General features: G+C 36.2%; 1 protein-coding gene across 3 annotated transcripts in view; it reads left to right on the forward strand.

The window, feature by feature from the left end:
- The window catches only part of GPR158 (G protein-coupled receptor 158), a 427,229-nt gene that overhangs the window by 402,215 nt on the left and 6,433 nt on the right, over window positions 1–18,581 (forward strand). For all 3 annotated transcript variants that reach the window (XR_930512.4, NM_020752.3, XM_017016452.3), the window contains 2 exons: window positions 11,792–11,930; window positions 17,077–17,182. Coding sequence is in view for 2 of the 3 variants with exons in the window: in NM_020752.3 (NP_065803.2) it covers window positions 11,792–11,930; window positions 17,077–17,182 (245 nt within the window). In the remaining variant the exon portion in view is untranslated. The remainder of the gene's footprint in view (window positions 1–11,791; window positions 11,931–17,076; window positions 17,183–18,581) is intronic.

Below are 18,581 nucleotides of genomic sequence, written 5' to 3' on the forward strand. Positions count from 1 at the left end.
GATACTCAGACTGTTAATCAAAAATAAATCCACATATCTTCAGTCAGCTAGAAAACCTGTACTGAACACTAAATTATTTCCTGGATCCTAAGAGGTAATGTTCCCATATAGGAAGGGACTGTAGAGAGGGAGGCAATAGGCTTAACCGTGAGGGTGGTGGGAAGACTTTCTCAAGAAGCTGTGTGCACTTACATTAGTGTCAAGAGTTCGTTCAGAAAAAAAGAAAAAGTGATGGTTAAATATGTTAGTACATTTGCATTCTGGGATCAGCTTTACCCGTCAAAAACAATCCCTTTTTCAAAATAAATCATTTGAGAGAGTGAAATACTAGTTTTTCCACTGAAGTAGAGCTCTGGCTAGAAATATGGGTCATACATTGAAAGACCGGGCTCATTCTATTTTTGCTCATTGCACAGGGCTGCTCCAAAACTGCTCAGATAGATGATTTTCCTAACACAAGTGTTTCAAAAGAGAAAACACGTATAGAAAATAGGTTGGAAAAATCTCAGAACCTAAAAGAGCCACAGTTTCTTCTTTGAAGAAATGATTTTAAAACATAGAAGGGGGAAAATGGTTTTCAGAATCACATTGTCATTTATGTCCGTTTATAATTTTCAATCATTTTGTTAGTCCTGTGTATAAAAAAATAAGGTAAGATTTAATGGAAAAAATAAGGATAAAGACATTGCTACATGGACACTGGACAATGTGAGAAGTGCTTTTCAGGCAGAGTAGTCAGTTTTTCTTAACAAATGACTTTTTCATCTGGTGGAAAGAGTTTTAAAATGTGGATGTTCCAAGACATTTTTAGATCAGATTATAATTCCTATAAACATTTAAACTGCCATACCTTTTTGAGAATCATCTACATCTATAATAACAATACATACTATGGTACTTACACTACTCATCATTATATGACTCAGTACCCTGAACTTTTCTGAGTACGTTTAAATATATTTTCTGTAGCTCACTGAAGACAAAAGAATCTTTCCATCTGCTCCTCCCTCTTGTAGCTACGTGCTCCTCAGCAACATGGCCTACGTTGTTCAGACTTATCCCTGACACCGACAGAGAACCTGCCAGGTGTAGGATCTTGAAAAATATTTGTTGAAAGAACAAAGCAGTCAGCTGTCTTTATCTTGTGATATTTTCTGTTGTCAGACTTAGACCAGTATGAGGAAACAGGTTAAAGCTAAAGACTGTGGAAGTCATACACTTGTCCCCAGCTTCATTTTCATGGTAAATGTACAAGTTCAAATTTGGGGGAAGGTATTTTGGAGCAAGTTATAGAAACTAATGGATAATTGCTGGCCATTTTATGAAACTCTACCTTTGACTTCTCCAACAGTCATAATAGATTGGTACAAATTTGCATGGCAAAGGAAAACTATAACTTAAAAAAGATTACATAGTGTAATTACAAATATTGAAACAGAATAAAATAGATTTAATGAACATTTTGATTATTTCACTATTGTCCTAGAGCTATCTAAAGAATAAAGGGGTTGGCCTGGCACGGTGGCTCACACCTGTAATCCCAGCACTTTGGGAGGCCGAGGCTGGCAGATCACGAGGTCAGGAGATCGAGACCATCCTGGCTAACACAGTGAAACCCCATCTCTACTAAAAATACAAAAAAAATTAGCTGGGCATGGTGGCGGGCGCCTGTAATCCCAGCTACTCAGGAGGCTGAGGTAGGAGAATGGCGTGAACCTGGGAGGCAGAGTTTGCAGTGAGCCAAGATCACGCCACTGCACTCCAGCCTGGGTAAACAGAGCAAGACTCCGTCTCAAAAAAAATAAAATAAAAATAAAAAAATAAAGATTAAAGGGGTTGAGACTGGGAAACATTCTCCTAAATTAATGAAGAAAACAAAGTATCATGTCATACTCATTTTGGAAACTGTTGGTAGTACAACTGTACGACTGTCAGATTTTTTTTTTTTTTCTAAATCCTCCTACCCTGGTTGGTAAATTGGCAGTCAATTGTCCATGTTCAGGATTTTTTGCAATCACATTAAACTTGTCATATTAAAAAGTCAAAACTTTATTCCCCTATGAGTTTTCTAATTGGATAATACAAACTGACAAGTAAGTAGAATTGACTTCTCATGCCTGAATTAACTGTTATAATTTCACCCCTAGAGTCAAATAGACCAGATCTTGACACCTAGATTTAGATATCCCAGGCAGGCAGGTCCTCCAGTATGGGGGACCCAAATTTAAAATACATTTATTTTATAACAGAGGTAGTGATGTAATGGAGTTCATCCGTTGACATATGTAGTTGGATAGCACTCAATTTGTGCTTACACATTTAGAACATACATTGAAGATACTGAAGCGGAACCAGTGACCAAGATAAGCTAGAACAAGTGGGCAGATTCTTACCTTACCTGCAAGAAACAACAAGACCGCAAAAAAGTAGCTAATAAATGATAGCATCGAGGACATTTAGAACTTCCCTTCCATGGTTAAATCTGTGCATCAAACTTTAATATTGACCCAGGCAAGCGCTGAGCTGTTTCCACAGTTTCTTCCAGAAGTTAGGTGATGATAGAATGTTATAAAAAGTTATGTAATTGAGAATAAATCTATTTTACTGCCCTCCTGGCACAATATATCCAAAAAGCCCTATCTAGGCTTCTATTCATCCTCTATCATCTCCTGTAATTCTTTCTTTCTGTATCACTGATATAGCCTAACTCTTCTTAACAGCATTTATATGATCTAATAACTATTCCCTGATAGGAATCCTGTTATAAATTAAGTTCTCTCCCCCTACCCTCCACCTCTCTTCATGGTTGTGAAAGTCCACTGATACATGAGGAGTCTCATGGTTCTGGAAACTCAGAGCTTGACATCACTTGTTATATATTTTATTCACCACATTGAAAAGAAAGACGTAAATGAAGATACAAGCAATAATTAAACAGGTATGATAGGCTTCAGTCTAATTCCATTTGGAAATTTTTAAATATTTGTGCTTTTAGTGAATTCCAGCATTGATTACTCCACTGTTCAAAAGTATTAGTTTCCATGGATTTCACATAATATAAAATATTGCCACTATAGAAAATACACAGTCTTTATTCTTCTTTATTGACATGCTTTTCTCCTTTGTTCTTGTCTTTCCTGGTACAATATTTTTAACACACACACAAAAAACAGGCAGTGTGTTCAGTAATTTAATTAGTCATATGCCAATGTTTAGAAAGAACCGAGAAAAATACAGCATCTCTCTCGCTGAGTTATATAAGGAAATTCTAAAATAGCAATTGTTTTTAAGGATTTAAATACTTAATTACCCTAGAAGATTAGGCTTTATTATGACAGGTGAAATGTGATATAAGTGCCATTTAATGAATGTTACAGAAAATAGATTAGACTTTCTCGTATCTGACAGATTAACGTTCTTTAGATTCATTACATACATTTTCTTTTATTCCAATATGTCATATGCCTTAATGCACACTGCATTACTTGTTACTATTTTAAACATACATTTTTATTTTTAAAAAAATTTGAGTCATGGTCTCCCTCTGTCACCCCGGCTGGAGTGCAGTTGTGTGACCATAGCTTGCTGCAGCTTCGAACTCCTGGACTCAAGCCATTCTTCTGCCTCACCCTCCCAAGTAGTTGTGACTACAGGTGCACCACCATATGCCCAGCTAATTTTTTTATTTTTTTATTTTATTTTATTTTATTTTATTTTTTTGAGACGGAGTCTCGCTCTGTTGCCCAGGCCAGACTGCGGACTGCAGTGGCGCAATCTCGGCTCACTGCAAGCTCCGCTTCCCGGGTTCACGCCATTCTCCTGCCTCAGCCTCCCGAGTAGCTGGGACTACAGGCGCCCGCCACCGCGCCCGGCTAATTTTTTTTTTGTATTTTTAGTAGAGACGGGGTTTCACCTTGTTAGCCAGGATGGTCTCAATCTCCTGACCTCATGATCCACCCGCCTCGGCCTCCCAAAGTGCTGGGATTACAGGCTTGAGCCACCGCGCCCGGCGCTAATTTTTAAAACATTATTTTTATGAGAGACAGACTTGCTGTGTTGACCAGGCTGGTCTCAAACTCCTGGCCTCAAACAATCCTCCCTCCCAAGCTACTGGGATTACAGGCATGAGCCACCATGTGTGACCTTAAACATGTATTTTTAATTTTCAATCAAAGGATAGAAGCCTGACCACATTGTCTTGGCTTAGGGCTACATCACTAAAAACTACACATACTTCTGAAAGCACTTGCTTGAGTGTCTTCAGAATGATGGAACTGGGAGTTCTTATTTGTATACCACCTCTTCTGAAAAGTGCTTTACTTTCTCTTTGCCCTTTAGCATTATTCAAATAACTGTGCCTCAAAGAAGTAAAACAGTTTCCACAAAGGCAGAATGTAAATAATAAATAAATAACCTCCCACAGCAGTCTTCGTGGTAGCCTGCCAGCTAGCACTTCAAATAGCATGTGTGAATTTCTAGTGATGCAGCCCGAGGGAAGGCAGATCACTAGTCAAAGCTACCAGGCTTTCATAAAAGATCAAAAATCAGACACTTTGATAATAGTAGCAAGCGATCCCATATCCAGTTCCCTCCCCAAACAATACCCATGCAAATGACAGTGTATTAGTTCATTTTCACACTGCTGATAAAGACATACCTGAGACTGGGTAATTTACTTAAAAAAAAAGTTTAATGGACTCACAGTTCCACATGGCTGAGGAGGCCTCACAATCATGGTGGAAGGTGAAAGGCACGTCTTAAATGGCGGCAGGCAACGAGAGAATGAGAACCAAGTGAAAGGGGTTTCCCTTTATAAAACCATCAGATCTCCTGAGACTTACCCCAAGAATAGTATGGGGGAAACCACCCTCATGATTCAGTTATCTCCCATGGTGGGGTGGGGGGTCTCTCCCACAACACATGGGAATTATGGGAGCTACAATTCAAGATGAGATTTGGGTGGGGACACAGCCAAACCATATCAGACAGAGAGACGAAATGGAAGACATAGCCTGCTCCTCTGACCTGGACCCTGTGCTCTGAGAGGACTTCCATCTGAGTCTGCCTTTGTGAGCTCATCATGTCCCCACTCTTTAATGTGTATCCATAAGCTCTGAGGTAGCTGAGTTTTGCCAGAGTTCTGTCACCCCATGGGAAACTGAAAACTTAAATGTATATGCCAGAGAGAGAACAGTATAGTCTCCCTACCCTTTTTACTTAAGATGCAATGGAAAATAAGGAAAAAATATCTTGGTCCCCATTCTAGCGAAGTGTGAACAGAAGCAATGAAGAAAAGCCAGCCTGTAAATGTGTGGCCATTCCGACAGTTCTGGCCTCAGAGAGCCCCCAGCTCCTAGGGAGTGGTAAGAGAATAAAGTAATCAAGTCACTATGTGACTTCATACTGTTGGTATGATTGACTGTGTTACTCCCCATTATTCCCAACAGTATTTCTGACCCAAGCTTGACATCTCAGCATTCAAAATTGTTACTCCTGCCTTTTTAAAGGAGTTACAAGTTCTACAATAAAACCTTCACAAAGGTAGATAATCTACAAAATACATTTAGCACAGTGCCCGGGTCCATTCAACAGATGTCAGGTATGAAATCAGATTAATTGAGGGGACAAAAATTACTTCTGAGGAGAGCTCCTTTAATTACCACAGGCTATTCAATTCTAATTAATGTATCAGCTGTTCTAAATACAAACAATTGCTGCCTGGAAAAATATTTGTTTTCTTCAGTAGGATAAAAATATTTCCAGGGGTTAAGAAAATCTCAGCCAAGAATGTAATTTAGGGAGCACTGGTCAGGAACTAAGAGACTCGGATTCTAGGCTCCAATCTGCTGCTCACAGGGCGAGTGCAGCTGGAGAACGGAGGTTCTCTGCAGACATATCCTATAGCCCATCCCGGGGCTCTGTGCTTCCAGAGAGCTGGAAAGGGAACACATACCCAGCCTCCATTGTCCTAGTTGTGAAATGCACTGTAACTTGCAACGTCTTCTGTATCCTTCTCTATCTCGGAGCTGAATCAACTGACTTTAAGGCCAGCAGAATAACAGCAGCTCACCAACTACCTGCTTCCCAGCAGCACAGACACTCAAAAATGTACCTGTTCACTATATGGTCTAATAAAGTCACTTGTAACTTAACAATTCTAACAGAAGAGACATTCTCATTGTTTTAATCAGTGTAACTCATAATTGGCTTTATTTTAGCCAAAGAAGAACCAGATAACCACCCAGAATATCTAGGGCTTATAATATAAATACTTATTTATATTCAAGCTTCTTTATACTAGCTGAAGCCTAGAATCCTGGAATTGAAGGTATTCAAGAATTATTGAAGTTGTTTGATTTAACACTTAGTGATAACCTCTGTGCCACCAACTCTGTCATTAGAAAGAAAACAAAATGAGTTATCCTGGGTAGAATTGTAAATATTTTTTTTTTACTTTAACCATGAATTTTTTAAGTGGATAGGATATAGAGAAAAATAGAAGAGGACATTAAAAGAGACACTTGAGAAATAAAACCTAAACGTTTTATCATTTATATACTTATTTATGCTGTGTAAAGGTAATTTTTAATGCGGCAAAGCAGGGTAAAGTGTTATTAATACAAAACGCCTTTGCAACAGGGTAAATCAGAGTACCACAGCTTGAGTGGCATTTGCACTTTGAAGTTGTTTTTCTCTCAGCTTTTGTGGGTAGTCTAGGATCACAGAACTGGAGCACCTTCAGTGTCAAAGAACTTATACTAATTTTCATTTCCTTGCTTGGCCCAGCCGTTTGAAAAAATAACTTGAAAATACTCTCCTTATAGTATATTAATTTTTCAAAGGCTATGGTAGTTAACTTTTAAACTGAGTGTTATTCCATACAGATTAAAAAGACTTCAGTTTCTGAAAGGATCTCGAAATATAAATGCAGTCCTTTTTGTAACTATACTCATGCCTTTCATCAAAATTATTTAACACCAGAAATTATTTTCTAAAGAAGAAGCACAACACGTATTTCAACTCCCACGTAATAACACCGCAAATTTGGTAACATCTGCATATTTTCTTTACTAATTGCAGTGCTAGTCTGAAGTTAATTATACGAAACTGATTTTTTTCCTAAGCACAACTTTTATATATCACATTTAGTTTAATTGGTACTTTGAATAATAAATTGTTTTTCAGCTACAGCATATTGTTTGGTATTGCTAATGAAATGATTTTAATGTTCAACCGAGCTGTTATGAGAAATCTTATTTTGTCTTATATTTTTAAATATAATTCTCCATTGTAGCACACTAATTAACCTGATAACTACTTTTCTTTTTTTGAATCTTCAGTATAACATTATGTAAAAACTGTGTGGTAAGTAGCAGGAGATACTGTTTTCATAATGCAGCTACGTGTGAATCCTTCAACTACAGCATATTTTTGTGCTAGTGGTACTTAATAATACTTATGCATTCACCATTCTTTTGTGCCAGGCACAGTACCACAAACTCAGTAGTGCATCAGTTTCAGATTAACACAGTTAATGATGCCAGTATGATCTTTAGATCACTTATAAGCCTGTTTAAGGAAAAACTGGAGACAAAATGAAAATCTAACAGTTTATCTGAGCGAAGATCAATTCATGAATCAGGAAGCACCAAAACCAAAGGGAGGTTGTGGGTTTTGCTGTGGCGGCCTGAGCATTCAACTTTTATAGGCTGGAGATGGAAGCAAAATTTAAAAAACAAACAAAACAAAACAAACTACTTGATTGGCTAGAGCTAGGTGTTTGCCTTATTTGGATATTGTCCAGTGGGAGGTCCCAGGTTACAAAACCAATCAGCTATTTGGCTGTCTATGATTGGCTGAAGCTTCCTTCACAATTAATCAGTTACAAAGAATGCTTCTACCTTTAGTTTCTGTTTGTATGCCTGGAACCCTTATGCAAGCAAATAGAAACTAAAGGCTAATGGCTTGCTTATTTTCCTTTAACAGGCCCTGCAATGTTAGATGGAGGGGCAAGGTAACAGAGTCTCCATCTCTAATGACTTAAACATGAAACTGACATCATTTAGACTTACTCAACAATTATTTACTAAATCTTATCTACATTGTCCCAGTACTGTTGCTACCACCTATGTGGGCAAAGGGAGAAAAAAACTGAAAAACTCAGTTCCTGCCCCGTAGTTCATAACTAGTTGGGATGGGTGTCAACTAACAAGACCCCATGAACAATTTTCTTCTAATTATATGTTGGGTGGTATTCTCTGCATTGTGCTGTATACGTAAAAACTATAAAGATACTAGAGGGAAGAAAATTCAATGTAGGTTATAATCATTTCAGGAGGCTTTGTGATAGAAATAGGACTTCAACTGGACATTGAAACATTGATTACGATTTTTCCACCTGAAATTCTAGCTCCCACTAGAAATGAGAGCAATAGTGTGAGCAAGACCAATAGCTCAGAAGCAAGACCAAGATTTGGAACGGGCCAGGAGTGGTGGCTCACGCCTGTAATCCCAGCACTTTGGTAGGCCAAGGTGAGTGGATTGCTTGAGGCCAGAAGTTTGAGACAAGCCCAGCCAACATGCCAAAACCCCATCTCTACTAAAATTACAAAAATTAACCAGGCATGGTGGCTCATGCCTGTAATCTCTGCTGCTCAGATGGCTGAGGCACAGGAATCAGTTGAACCCTGGAGGCAGAGGTTGCAGTGTGCCACGATCGTGCCACAACACTCCAGCCTGGGTGACAGACCAAGACCCTGTCTCAAAAAAAATAAAAATATAAAAAGATTTGGAGTGTTCAGAGGACAAAGAGACCTTCTAGGTCTGCTCAAAGAGTTTATGCTGGGGAGTACTGAGACGTCGTGTTACATATATATTATGAAGTCATATTGTAGAGGGCTAGGAATGCCGGGATAACAGGATTTGTGAAATAATAGTGAGCCACTGAGCATTTCTGAATGAAGACACGTTGACGCCTCACAGAAGGCTGACCCGAAGGCCAGAGACCACAGTAGAAGTCAAGGTCTAGAAACCACAAGCAAGAATAAATAAATAAAGTCAAGCAACATGGGCAGCTAATGTGAAGGCTGTGCAGTAAGATAGTGTTGAAAGTAAGGCCATAAGGTCTTCCTTTGGGACAGGAATTATTTCCAGGGTTGTAAGTAGGTATGTGTGAATTTTTTTTTTTTTTTTTTTTTTTTTTTTTTGAGGCAGAGTCTCACTCTGTCACCCAGGCTGGAGTGCAGTGGCATGACCTCAGCTCACTGAGGCCTCCACCTCCTGTTTCAAGCAATTCGCCTGCCTCAGCCTCCTGAGTAGCTGGGACCACAGGCAAGTGCCACCACACCAGGCTAATTTTTTAAATTTTTTTAATTTTTAGTAGAGACAGGGTTTCACCAATGTTAGCCAGGCTTGTCTTGAACTACTGACCAGCCTGATCCACCTGCCTCAGCCTCTCAAAGTGCTGGGATTACAGGTGTGAGCCACCGTGCCCGGCCCGGTATGCATGAACCTTCTAATGGAGATGTGACTGGGTTAACCCAAATGCAGTGGCACAGATGTGGACAAGTCCCAATATGATCAAAATGGAGTTTCAGAAAAATGAACCTGTTACTGTTATGAAGAGTGTGTTAACACAGATGAAACTGTTACTGAAATGCCAGGGTTTCGGTCTAGGTCCTACTGATCACTGTACAGAAGGCCAATCCCTGAGACAACAATATTGCCAGGGAAGAAGGCTTTAATCAGGTACTATAGCCAAGGAGCTGGGAGATCAGTCTCAATTCCGTCTTGCTGACCGACTAAAATTAGAGGTTTATATAGCAGGGAAGAAATGTAACCATATGTGGAAAACAGGAATTAGGGAGGGGTAACAAAGAGAAGTTGGTCAACAGGAAGCAGGTGGTTGGTTAGGCAATCATGATGGGTGAGGGATCTGGTGTCTCATTGTCCAGATGCAGTGATCTGGTAAGTTTCAGCTCCTTGATTCTATCTGGAGGACTGATGGTTGGTTTCCTGAAAAAGGAACTCAGATATGACAAATGTAACCTTTTCAGATTTTAAGACTGGGAGGATCAATTTCTATTTTTATTCAAAGAAACCACAAATATCAGTTCTGTGGGACAATTAGACCAGTTTCCAAGTCAGGTTTAGATGAGCCCTTGAAAAATAATTTCAGCAAATAAGGAGTAAACTGATAGCGGCTTAGGCAAAGATTGTTATTGTGGGCATTGAGAGAATTAATACATCTGAGAAATGACTCAAAGAAAGAAATGTAGAAATGAAAGTTGGAGATTTCAAACCTGGGTAAAGAAGGCAACGGTAATTCCATGGACAGAAATACAAGAGTTGGGAAAGGAAATTATACATGAAAATCTCAGAGTTACCCGATTCCCTTTGCTCGATCCAATACAACTTGGCTGGAAACATTCATAGCATGGCCAAGGTCCACCATGCTGAATAAGACAGACCTACACTAGATCTCATGGAGAGTTTGGAGTGACATTAATTTTTTTGTCTTCCGGCTACATCAGGGTTTTAGAGTAGCTCCTGAGACATTTGTTTCTTTAAGGGATTTTAAATAATTAAGGCCCTACCTACCATTTAAATGCTGATTGAAATATACTGAAACTTTGGCAAGGAAAACACCTTGGTTTTTGGATGGATGATCCATGTTTTGAGTGGACATCAATGTTTCTGTTTACAAGAAAGTTCCATCTAGATAATGCATTTGATGAAATGTTTTCTCCAAATTAGAACTTTCTTATTAGACACTATCTTCCAGAAAGGTCATGCCACTAAGATAGATAAAATGGGTTGTATAGATTATCACTCAAAATGAGATAAAATAGCAATATTTAGTTTGGGGAAAAAAGTCAAATGAAATGTTTAATAATAAAAACCATTTATTTAACAATTACTATGTGTCAGAAACTATGTTAAGTGCTTTCTATGCATTATTTTATTTAATTAGCACATAATCACATGAAATACATACTTTTATTATCCTCATTTTCCAAATGAAGAAATTGACCAGAGAGGTTAAGTAAATTGCCTAAGATTATGCAAAGTTATTTAGGGATAGAGCCAGAGTCAGAATCAGAATTATATCTAACACGGTGCTGAAGTCCTCGTTCTTAGCTGCTACACTGTGCTCGTCTCTTCTGGCTTCAGTGATCAAACAAGGTGATTGTGAATTTTCCTAAACCTTTCCACACTCAACCCACAGAAGACATGATTTCTGTCATGTGTGACAAAACAAGGTTTTATTTATAAAATATGCCACTGAATGTTTAGCAACCTGTGTTCTCACATAGCTGGCAATGTTATCTTTACTTATTGTACTGGGCTTAGTGCAGTTAGAACTTAAATTTCTAGAAGCTGCATATAAACATGTTCTAAACTTTTGTTGTTGTTGTTGCCTTGGTAACTTTATTGTGACCTGAGTGTTCCACGAGCATCCTAAACTTAGGTTAGGGATATGGAAAATTAGTTTACAGTGGTTTTCAGAAAAAGCAAGGTATTATCAAAAAATTAGAAAATTCTGAATGCTATTACAACAAAGTGTACCTTTAAATTAAATGCAATAACAACAAAGTGTACCCTTTGAAAAATATTCCATAAACTGAATGAAATTTAAAAATATATGGCATTTGTATTTGTATGTGAATAAGACTTTCTAACCCATCTATTTATAAAAAACTTATGTTGAATAATAAACAAAATGCATGCTAAAGAAGAATTTTATTTCTTCACCTATAAAACTCATGAAAATGGTTTGTTATTTTCACAGCTGAATTTTTATTCCTCTTGTGGGGTGTTTATCTCTGCTATGCAGTGCGGACAGTCCCATCGGCATTCCATGAGCCCCGCTATATGGCTGTTGCAGTTCACAATGAGCTCATCATCTCTGCTATATTCCATACAATTAGGCAAGTGATCTGTAGAGCTAGTAAATAACTATTTTATTTTTCTGATGTGTTGCTGTTTAAATAACAAAATTAGATAAGATGCATAATAGAAAGACTTAGCAAAGATAGCATTTTATAAGTGGACTAATTTCTTTTACAGATTTGGAAAATGAATAGTTTGTTTTTAAAGCTGTTGTTCTTAGTTCCTTCGGCTGTGTTGTTTATTGCCTTCTTCTATTTTGAAGGTTAATTCAATGTTATTGTATTATCTTAAGCCACTTATGGAAATGTAATGGAATATTGTTTGTAATATGTAGCTTCATTATGAAGATATAATGCAATACGTGCATACATTGTAAAGCAGATACAGTTAACTTATCTATATTTTCATTTATGTTTAATGGGCTGGTTTATATTTTCAAAATCTCAATAGACATATAGACAACTTGTATGTATGAATTCTGTGGAATTCAAAACACAAAAACTACTTCAATCTGATGACTAGATTATCATGTGCAATGGGCTTTGGTGCTATCACACATTCTGGTAATGAATTTCTGGGATAAGAATGTATAGCTTGGTCCTCTATTGTGTGATCATCCCAGGTTTCTCTCTAGCAGATGAGAACACAGGAGGAAGACAGTGGCTTATCATGAAGTGAACAAAATGAAATATATATGACTTATCTTCTGAAAATGTATCCCTGATTCATATTTGAAAATGAAATGAAACTCTCAGGGCAGAACTAAAAGAAGGAATTCTATCATTTAAAAAGCAACAAAAAGATGTCATTCAATTGCTTGACAGATATGGAAAGTTAGGACACACTTAAGAAAATTAGAGATGTTGAGTATTTGTCTCTGGCCTCAGTGGAAAGAGTGGATCCCCTTTCTTTAGTTTCAATTCCTTTTTTGGCCTTCAGACTCTCCTGGAGATCAGTGAGAATGGAAGAGCGGGTGGGAGAAGGCAGTTGTGGGTCTGGGGGAATTTTGTAGGATGCCTATCCTCTCTGACTTTAGTCAGCAGTCAGAAGATGTGATCTTGCATCTTTAGAAAGAGACGTTGCCAGACAGCAGTGGGCCTCAGTTACAGCCTACACTTTTAAAACTTTTAAATAAGAAGAGGAGGTATCTATGGTCTGAGAACCCTGGAGACTCCATCAAGAGGCCAGGAATCTAGAGAACTGGGCTCTTTGCTTTGTCTTGCCCTCTCTGAGAGAGGAGAGAAAGACATTAGAAGAGGAAGGAAAGATAAGAATGGAAATATAAGATTATAAATACGCAAAGGAAGAAATGCTTTTTCAGCTACTCAGACTGGAGTTTCAGGACCTAAGAGGGGATGCCCTCAGTCAACAATATCTTGAGCACCATAGAATGTCTCCTCCTGTTGCCAGAGCTCAAACAGCCTTGACATATTCCCCAGACTTTCTTCCAAGAAAAGCTACTTTTTTGCTTATTTGCAGAATATCAAGCATATTCCAAGATATAACAAACATGCTTTTCTACAACCAGTTACAAGTTAAATGTTAACAAATCGACTAACAAATCAACTAAAGTTAACAAATCAACTAAAGAGTTGTAAACCAGTAAGAAGGCTTCTCAGAGTTGAGTTTAAATGTCTTCTATGGTCAAAATGTGCTTATGTAGTGCAGAAGGTTGTGCACTTTAGCCTTATAATAAACTGCTAGATTTTTTTAGAAAAAAATTAATTGTCCAAGTACTTAAATCTGTTTAGAAGTTTAATAAATATCTAAATATCCTTTAATTCCTTAAAGTTTACTCTGTTCAGTTTTCATCATTAAATTTCATTTCTCAATATATGTCAAACTTTAAACTGGCCTAGGTTCTTTCAGGAGTAGGCATGGTAAACTATTCTTAAATGAATCTTTTAAAAGTTTAATAAGGCAATAGATGGTTGTTACAGAAAAATCCTAAAGAAAAAAGTAAATAAACTCCCCAATCATGCTACCCAAAGATAAGCACTGTTAACACCTTAGTATATCACTTTTAGGTGTTTATGTGTGTTTGTATATTTATGATACATTGCACTTTATAGTCTCCTTTTCAGAGTGTCACAATGCAAGTTAGCATGCTGAGAAGTCCTGCTGCAAGGAAACCTACTTAATTTTATTTAACCAGCATTTTGCAAACTTAATTGACCATGGAATCCCCCCAAACCTCACTTGACATTTGATAACAGCATCCACACTTCAGAAAATACTGTTTTTCTACTGATTCAAGGTGACGGGAAGTACATGTTAAATACTGATTGAAAACAGCCTTACTACTTTGCTGTAAATCTTTCCTACAGAGCCCCAAGCAACTCATTGGCCCAACCAGAATAATCACATGAACATGAGCTTGGTTCTTATAGACACACACTCTGATTGAATGCTCCATGTTGAACCTAGTAAATTTGGTGTTGAATAGACATGATGTACTTGCAAGATCAATTTTCTTCCAGACAACTGTGTGGACCTCTATTACTTCTGAAAAGGGAGAACTTCCATTGGTAGCAAGTGTGACACAGAAAGACTAACTAGCTTGGTAGGCTTTGATTTTTTAGCAAGCTTAAATAAACCTGAAGAAGCCCTATGTTTTAAATTCCAAATTTGACCCACTATATCTTTCTGCCTAGATTGGATCAGACTGTGGTATATTGACTTTAAGGAATCACAGCATATATTAGCTACTCTCAGAAATATAATTTATATGGCTATAAAGGATGAAGGAATGGAATTGTAGTTTAATACAGTAAATCTGCATAACACTGATTTTGGGGGAATTGATAGGGAGAAAGCAATAGGCAATAATAAACCAATCAAGTATGTACAATGTCTTATTTACATATGGCCTGAACTTATACATGTGATGGTTCAAATATTTATAAAGTCCAAGAATAAGAAGCAATAACATAATAATTTAAATCAGCTATATCCATCTTGGTAATTTTTTCCTTGAATGAAACAATATAAAATAAGGCTTCCAACAGTGAAAAATATATTCTCTATCAATATAGCATGTGTTCTTTCTTATATGCTTAAAAAAATTATGTCTATGTATGTATATATACATATATAAATTAAAAACTATGACTATACATTATATACAGATTTACCTTTATTCATACCAAATTGTCAAATTGCACAAAAATAAACTAACAGCAAAGAATTAAGTCTAGAAGGATAAATAACACAGAGGCGTTTTTCCCAGCCTGTTATAATCCCTTATCCTTTATTATTTTTAGTGCTAAGCATAAAGCAAATCTTTGGGAAAGCACAAGACTTTTAAGTGTGTTTATTTTTAACCTCAATTTTCAAATATTTTATGCTCCTGGCTTTTAGACCTATGTTTTAAAAGATGAAACACTCTTGAAAATACGAAGCTTTAAAACTACTGCAAACCCAGTTTTTCTCAAAATATTTCTAGTCAGAATTGCAACCTTAAAAACCTGGCAGTAATTTAAAACTGATTGAGAGTGATGTCTGTATATTTCACAGTTGGTGGTTTTTTAAAGTTTCACTATTTTAAATTATGTGCAAGCATTTTTCCTTCTAGATACTGCCATGCTACTTTAAAGTTTATTTGGTTTGCATTTAAGGTGGAATTCTCAATACATGAGGATCCTTTTATGAATGTCTCCTTTAATGTAACTTTCTGCTCCAATACTGGAATGACCCTCAACAGACTGGATTTGTATTATTTTCCCAGAGTGTTATATCCCTTATATGCCTCAGAGACTGTTACTTGTTACTGAGTGTAATGATCCTATTTCAATGCAAAAAAAAAAAAAAAAAAAGCCTGACCCAGGAAAACAGACTGCGTCAAAAGTCTGTTTTCACAATCTTTTGTCAAAACTGGTTCAGTTTTGCAGTCATATTCAAGGTATGTGTTTTTCTCACAAAGAAGTTAGAGAAGATGGTTAGCCAGAAAGCCCTATCCCTGTTTAATGAAACGTGAGCTATTGTGATGAGTGCCCTGTATTTTATGTATGTTACAAGCCTATTTGGTTTGCATCTCTAGACACAAGGGAAAATAATTCTCCATTTTGGGTAACTGCTGAGCTTCCATTTTAGCTTGATATCCTTAGGGGAGCAGCATGGAGGTGAAAATGAGAAAGAAATCATCTTGATGACAATTTTAAACATTAATGATCATTTACTTAGTAAATTTGTCATTAATATGGTAGAATGAAGATATAAAAATTAGTTTCTTCCTATTTTAGCCATTAATATATGTTTGTTTTGTGATTATAATATCATGAGCATTTTCTTAGGATGTTAACTTTGCACATTTGATGATGTGAAACAAAATTGTAATTCTCTAATTTCAAGTGGCAAAATGTCATATTTTGCTTTCACGGATAAACAATGGATAAGACCTTTATGAAAGCAACCCCTGGTTTCTGCGTAAGGATGCATCCTTAAAACATGAACTGTGTACATACACCTATTAATTTCTGAAAATATTCCCAAATTACTAGAGTAGACCTTAGTATTGAATTTCTCCTCACCATTTTTCCTGCAGAGGCATACTGGAACACAACTTCATAAATTTCTCCATCAGATAAGATTTTTAAATACTGCATTTTAAATTATTTTAGACAATTTGATAATTTAGAACAATTTATTTTAAAGAGTACATTTTATAAACCATTAGTATGTTTCATTAAATTGTTTTATCCATTAAATTGTTTTATTTCAATGCTTGGATCATTCACAAAGATAAATAATTGTCCACTTTTTCTTAATTATAACTGTTTTTAAACATTGATGCTTTGTAGGCAAATTATGAGTACTAAGAATATTACAACTGATAACTCTACAAATTTGTATTGTAAGTTTGTAACCTACTCCTCTTGAATTTACATATATTTACCACTTCGATTTTTAGAGGCCACTTTACATACAAAATAATAATCTTGGGAATTATTATGCTGCCTTTCTTACTATTGTTAATCTAAAATCATAATAAAGGGTTCATATATTATGCATCAAATTAAGCTTAGACTTTATTCTTTTGAGATGAAAATATATGCCATAGAAATAGTAATACAATTTCCTTTTTCTTATTTTAATACAATGAGGAAAAAAGAGTTCCCAAGTAATCCTAGTGTTCTAAGTAGAATCTTAATCTTGGATTGTTAACTCAATGAATTCTCATTTCAGATTTGTTCTTGCCTCAAGACTTCAGTCTGATTGGATGTTGATGCTGTATTTTGCACATACTCATTTGACTGTGACAGTCACCATTGGGTTGCTTTTGATTCCAAAGGTATTCTTCTAATATTACTTTTTTTTTTGCAAAACTTATTTTTAATGAACATGGAGTTGTTTATCCTATAGGCAAAAGGAGGTATGGAAATTTGCTTAATATTTAAAAGAGTTTTAAAGCTCCCTCCTCAGGAAACTGGCTGTTTTCTCTTTGAATTTTGGAAACTTCTTAAATAATTTTTAAATGCCTTTGTTTGTACAAAAACCCATCATCTGTTTCAGTCTTTTTCCAAATATATTGATGTCTAGTATGTTTTAATTATTATGGGTTCATTCTAGCTGTAACAGCAAGATCATTTTTTAAAAGAACTCTCCTATTCTAAGAATCCTCTTGTTTGGATTCATATTCAGAGAAATCTTATGTTTGGAACATTCAAATAATTTTTTATGTATATAGAAATAAATTATTACATATAGAGGAATCTCCATAATGATAGATACTGACAAAGACTTGTCCAGGCAGCACCATGAAATGAGGAAAAATGAGCCAGGACTCAGAATACAGGGATTCTAGACTCGTGGACCTTCCAGAAACTGGCTGTGTGTTATGACACTAGCCAGGACTTTTGATTTTTTGTGTGTGATATAATAGTAAGGCTTCCTGAAATAAAATAAAATGATATTGGAGTTTTTTTTCTCTGGGGGGAAGGTATTATACAAATTATATCATTGTTATTATTTTCCTCTTTTATACATAAACACAATATTAGAACACTGTGTATCTTTTCAGTGCCACAAAATACAGTGTTAGCACAGCTGAAACCAGAATTATGATTTCTTGTCTTCACTCCAGGCTTTTCCTCAAGTCTCACAGTTAACCAGAACATTGAGATTCAGCCTGATTGAAAAGTCTAAACCATTGTAAACAGAACAAGATACCTATTTTATTCCCTACTTGAATTACATCAACTAGACACAAGTATTTGTATAGATTATCTTAACTATTTTGATACTTTGCATAATATGATTACACTTTTATTAGATAGATGGAGCTATACTGAGATTATTTAATAAATTTTTACTGAGTTCCAAAGAGGATTGAAACTTGTAGAAGGATGTTCATAGCAGTGTTATTCATAATACCCAAAAAGTAGAAACAACCCAAATGTTTACCAACTGACAAATGTATAAACAACATGTGGTATATCCATACGATGGATTATTATTTGTCAGTAAAAATGAATGAAGTTCTGGCACATGTTACAACAATAAGAAGTGCAAAAGCCAGACACAAAATGCCACACATTGCATGATTCCATTTATGTGAAATGTCCAGAATGGGCAAATCTATAGAAACATAAAGTAGATTAGTGTTTGTCACAGGCTGGAGGAAGGATGAATAGAAGTGATTGCTTAATGGATTCAAGGTTTCTTTTTGAGATGAATATTCCAAAACTATT

Source organism: Homo sapiens, chromosome 10 (genome assembly GCF_000001405.40).
Source record: "Homo sapiens chromosome 10, GRCh38.p14 Primary Assembly".
Lineage (NCBI taxonomy): Eukaryota > Metazoa > Chordata > Mammalia > Primates > Hominidae > Homo > Homo sapiens.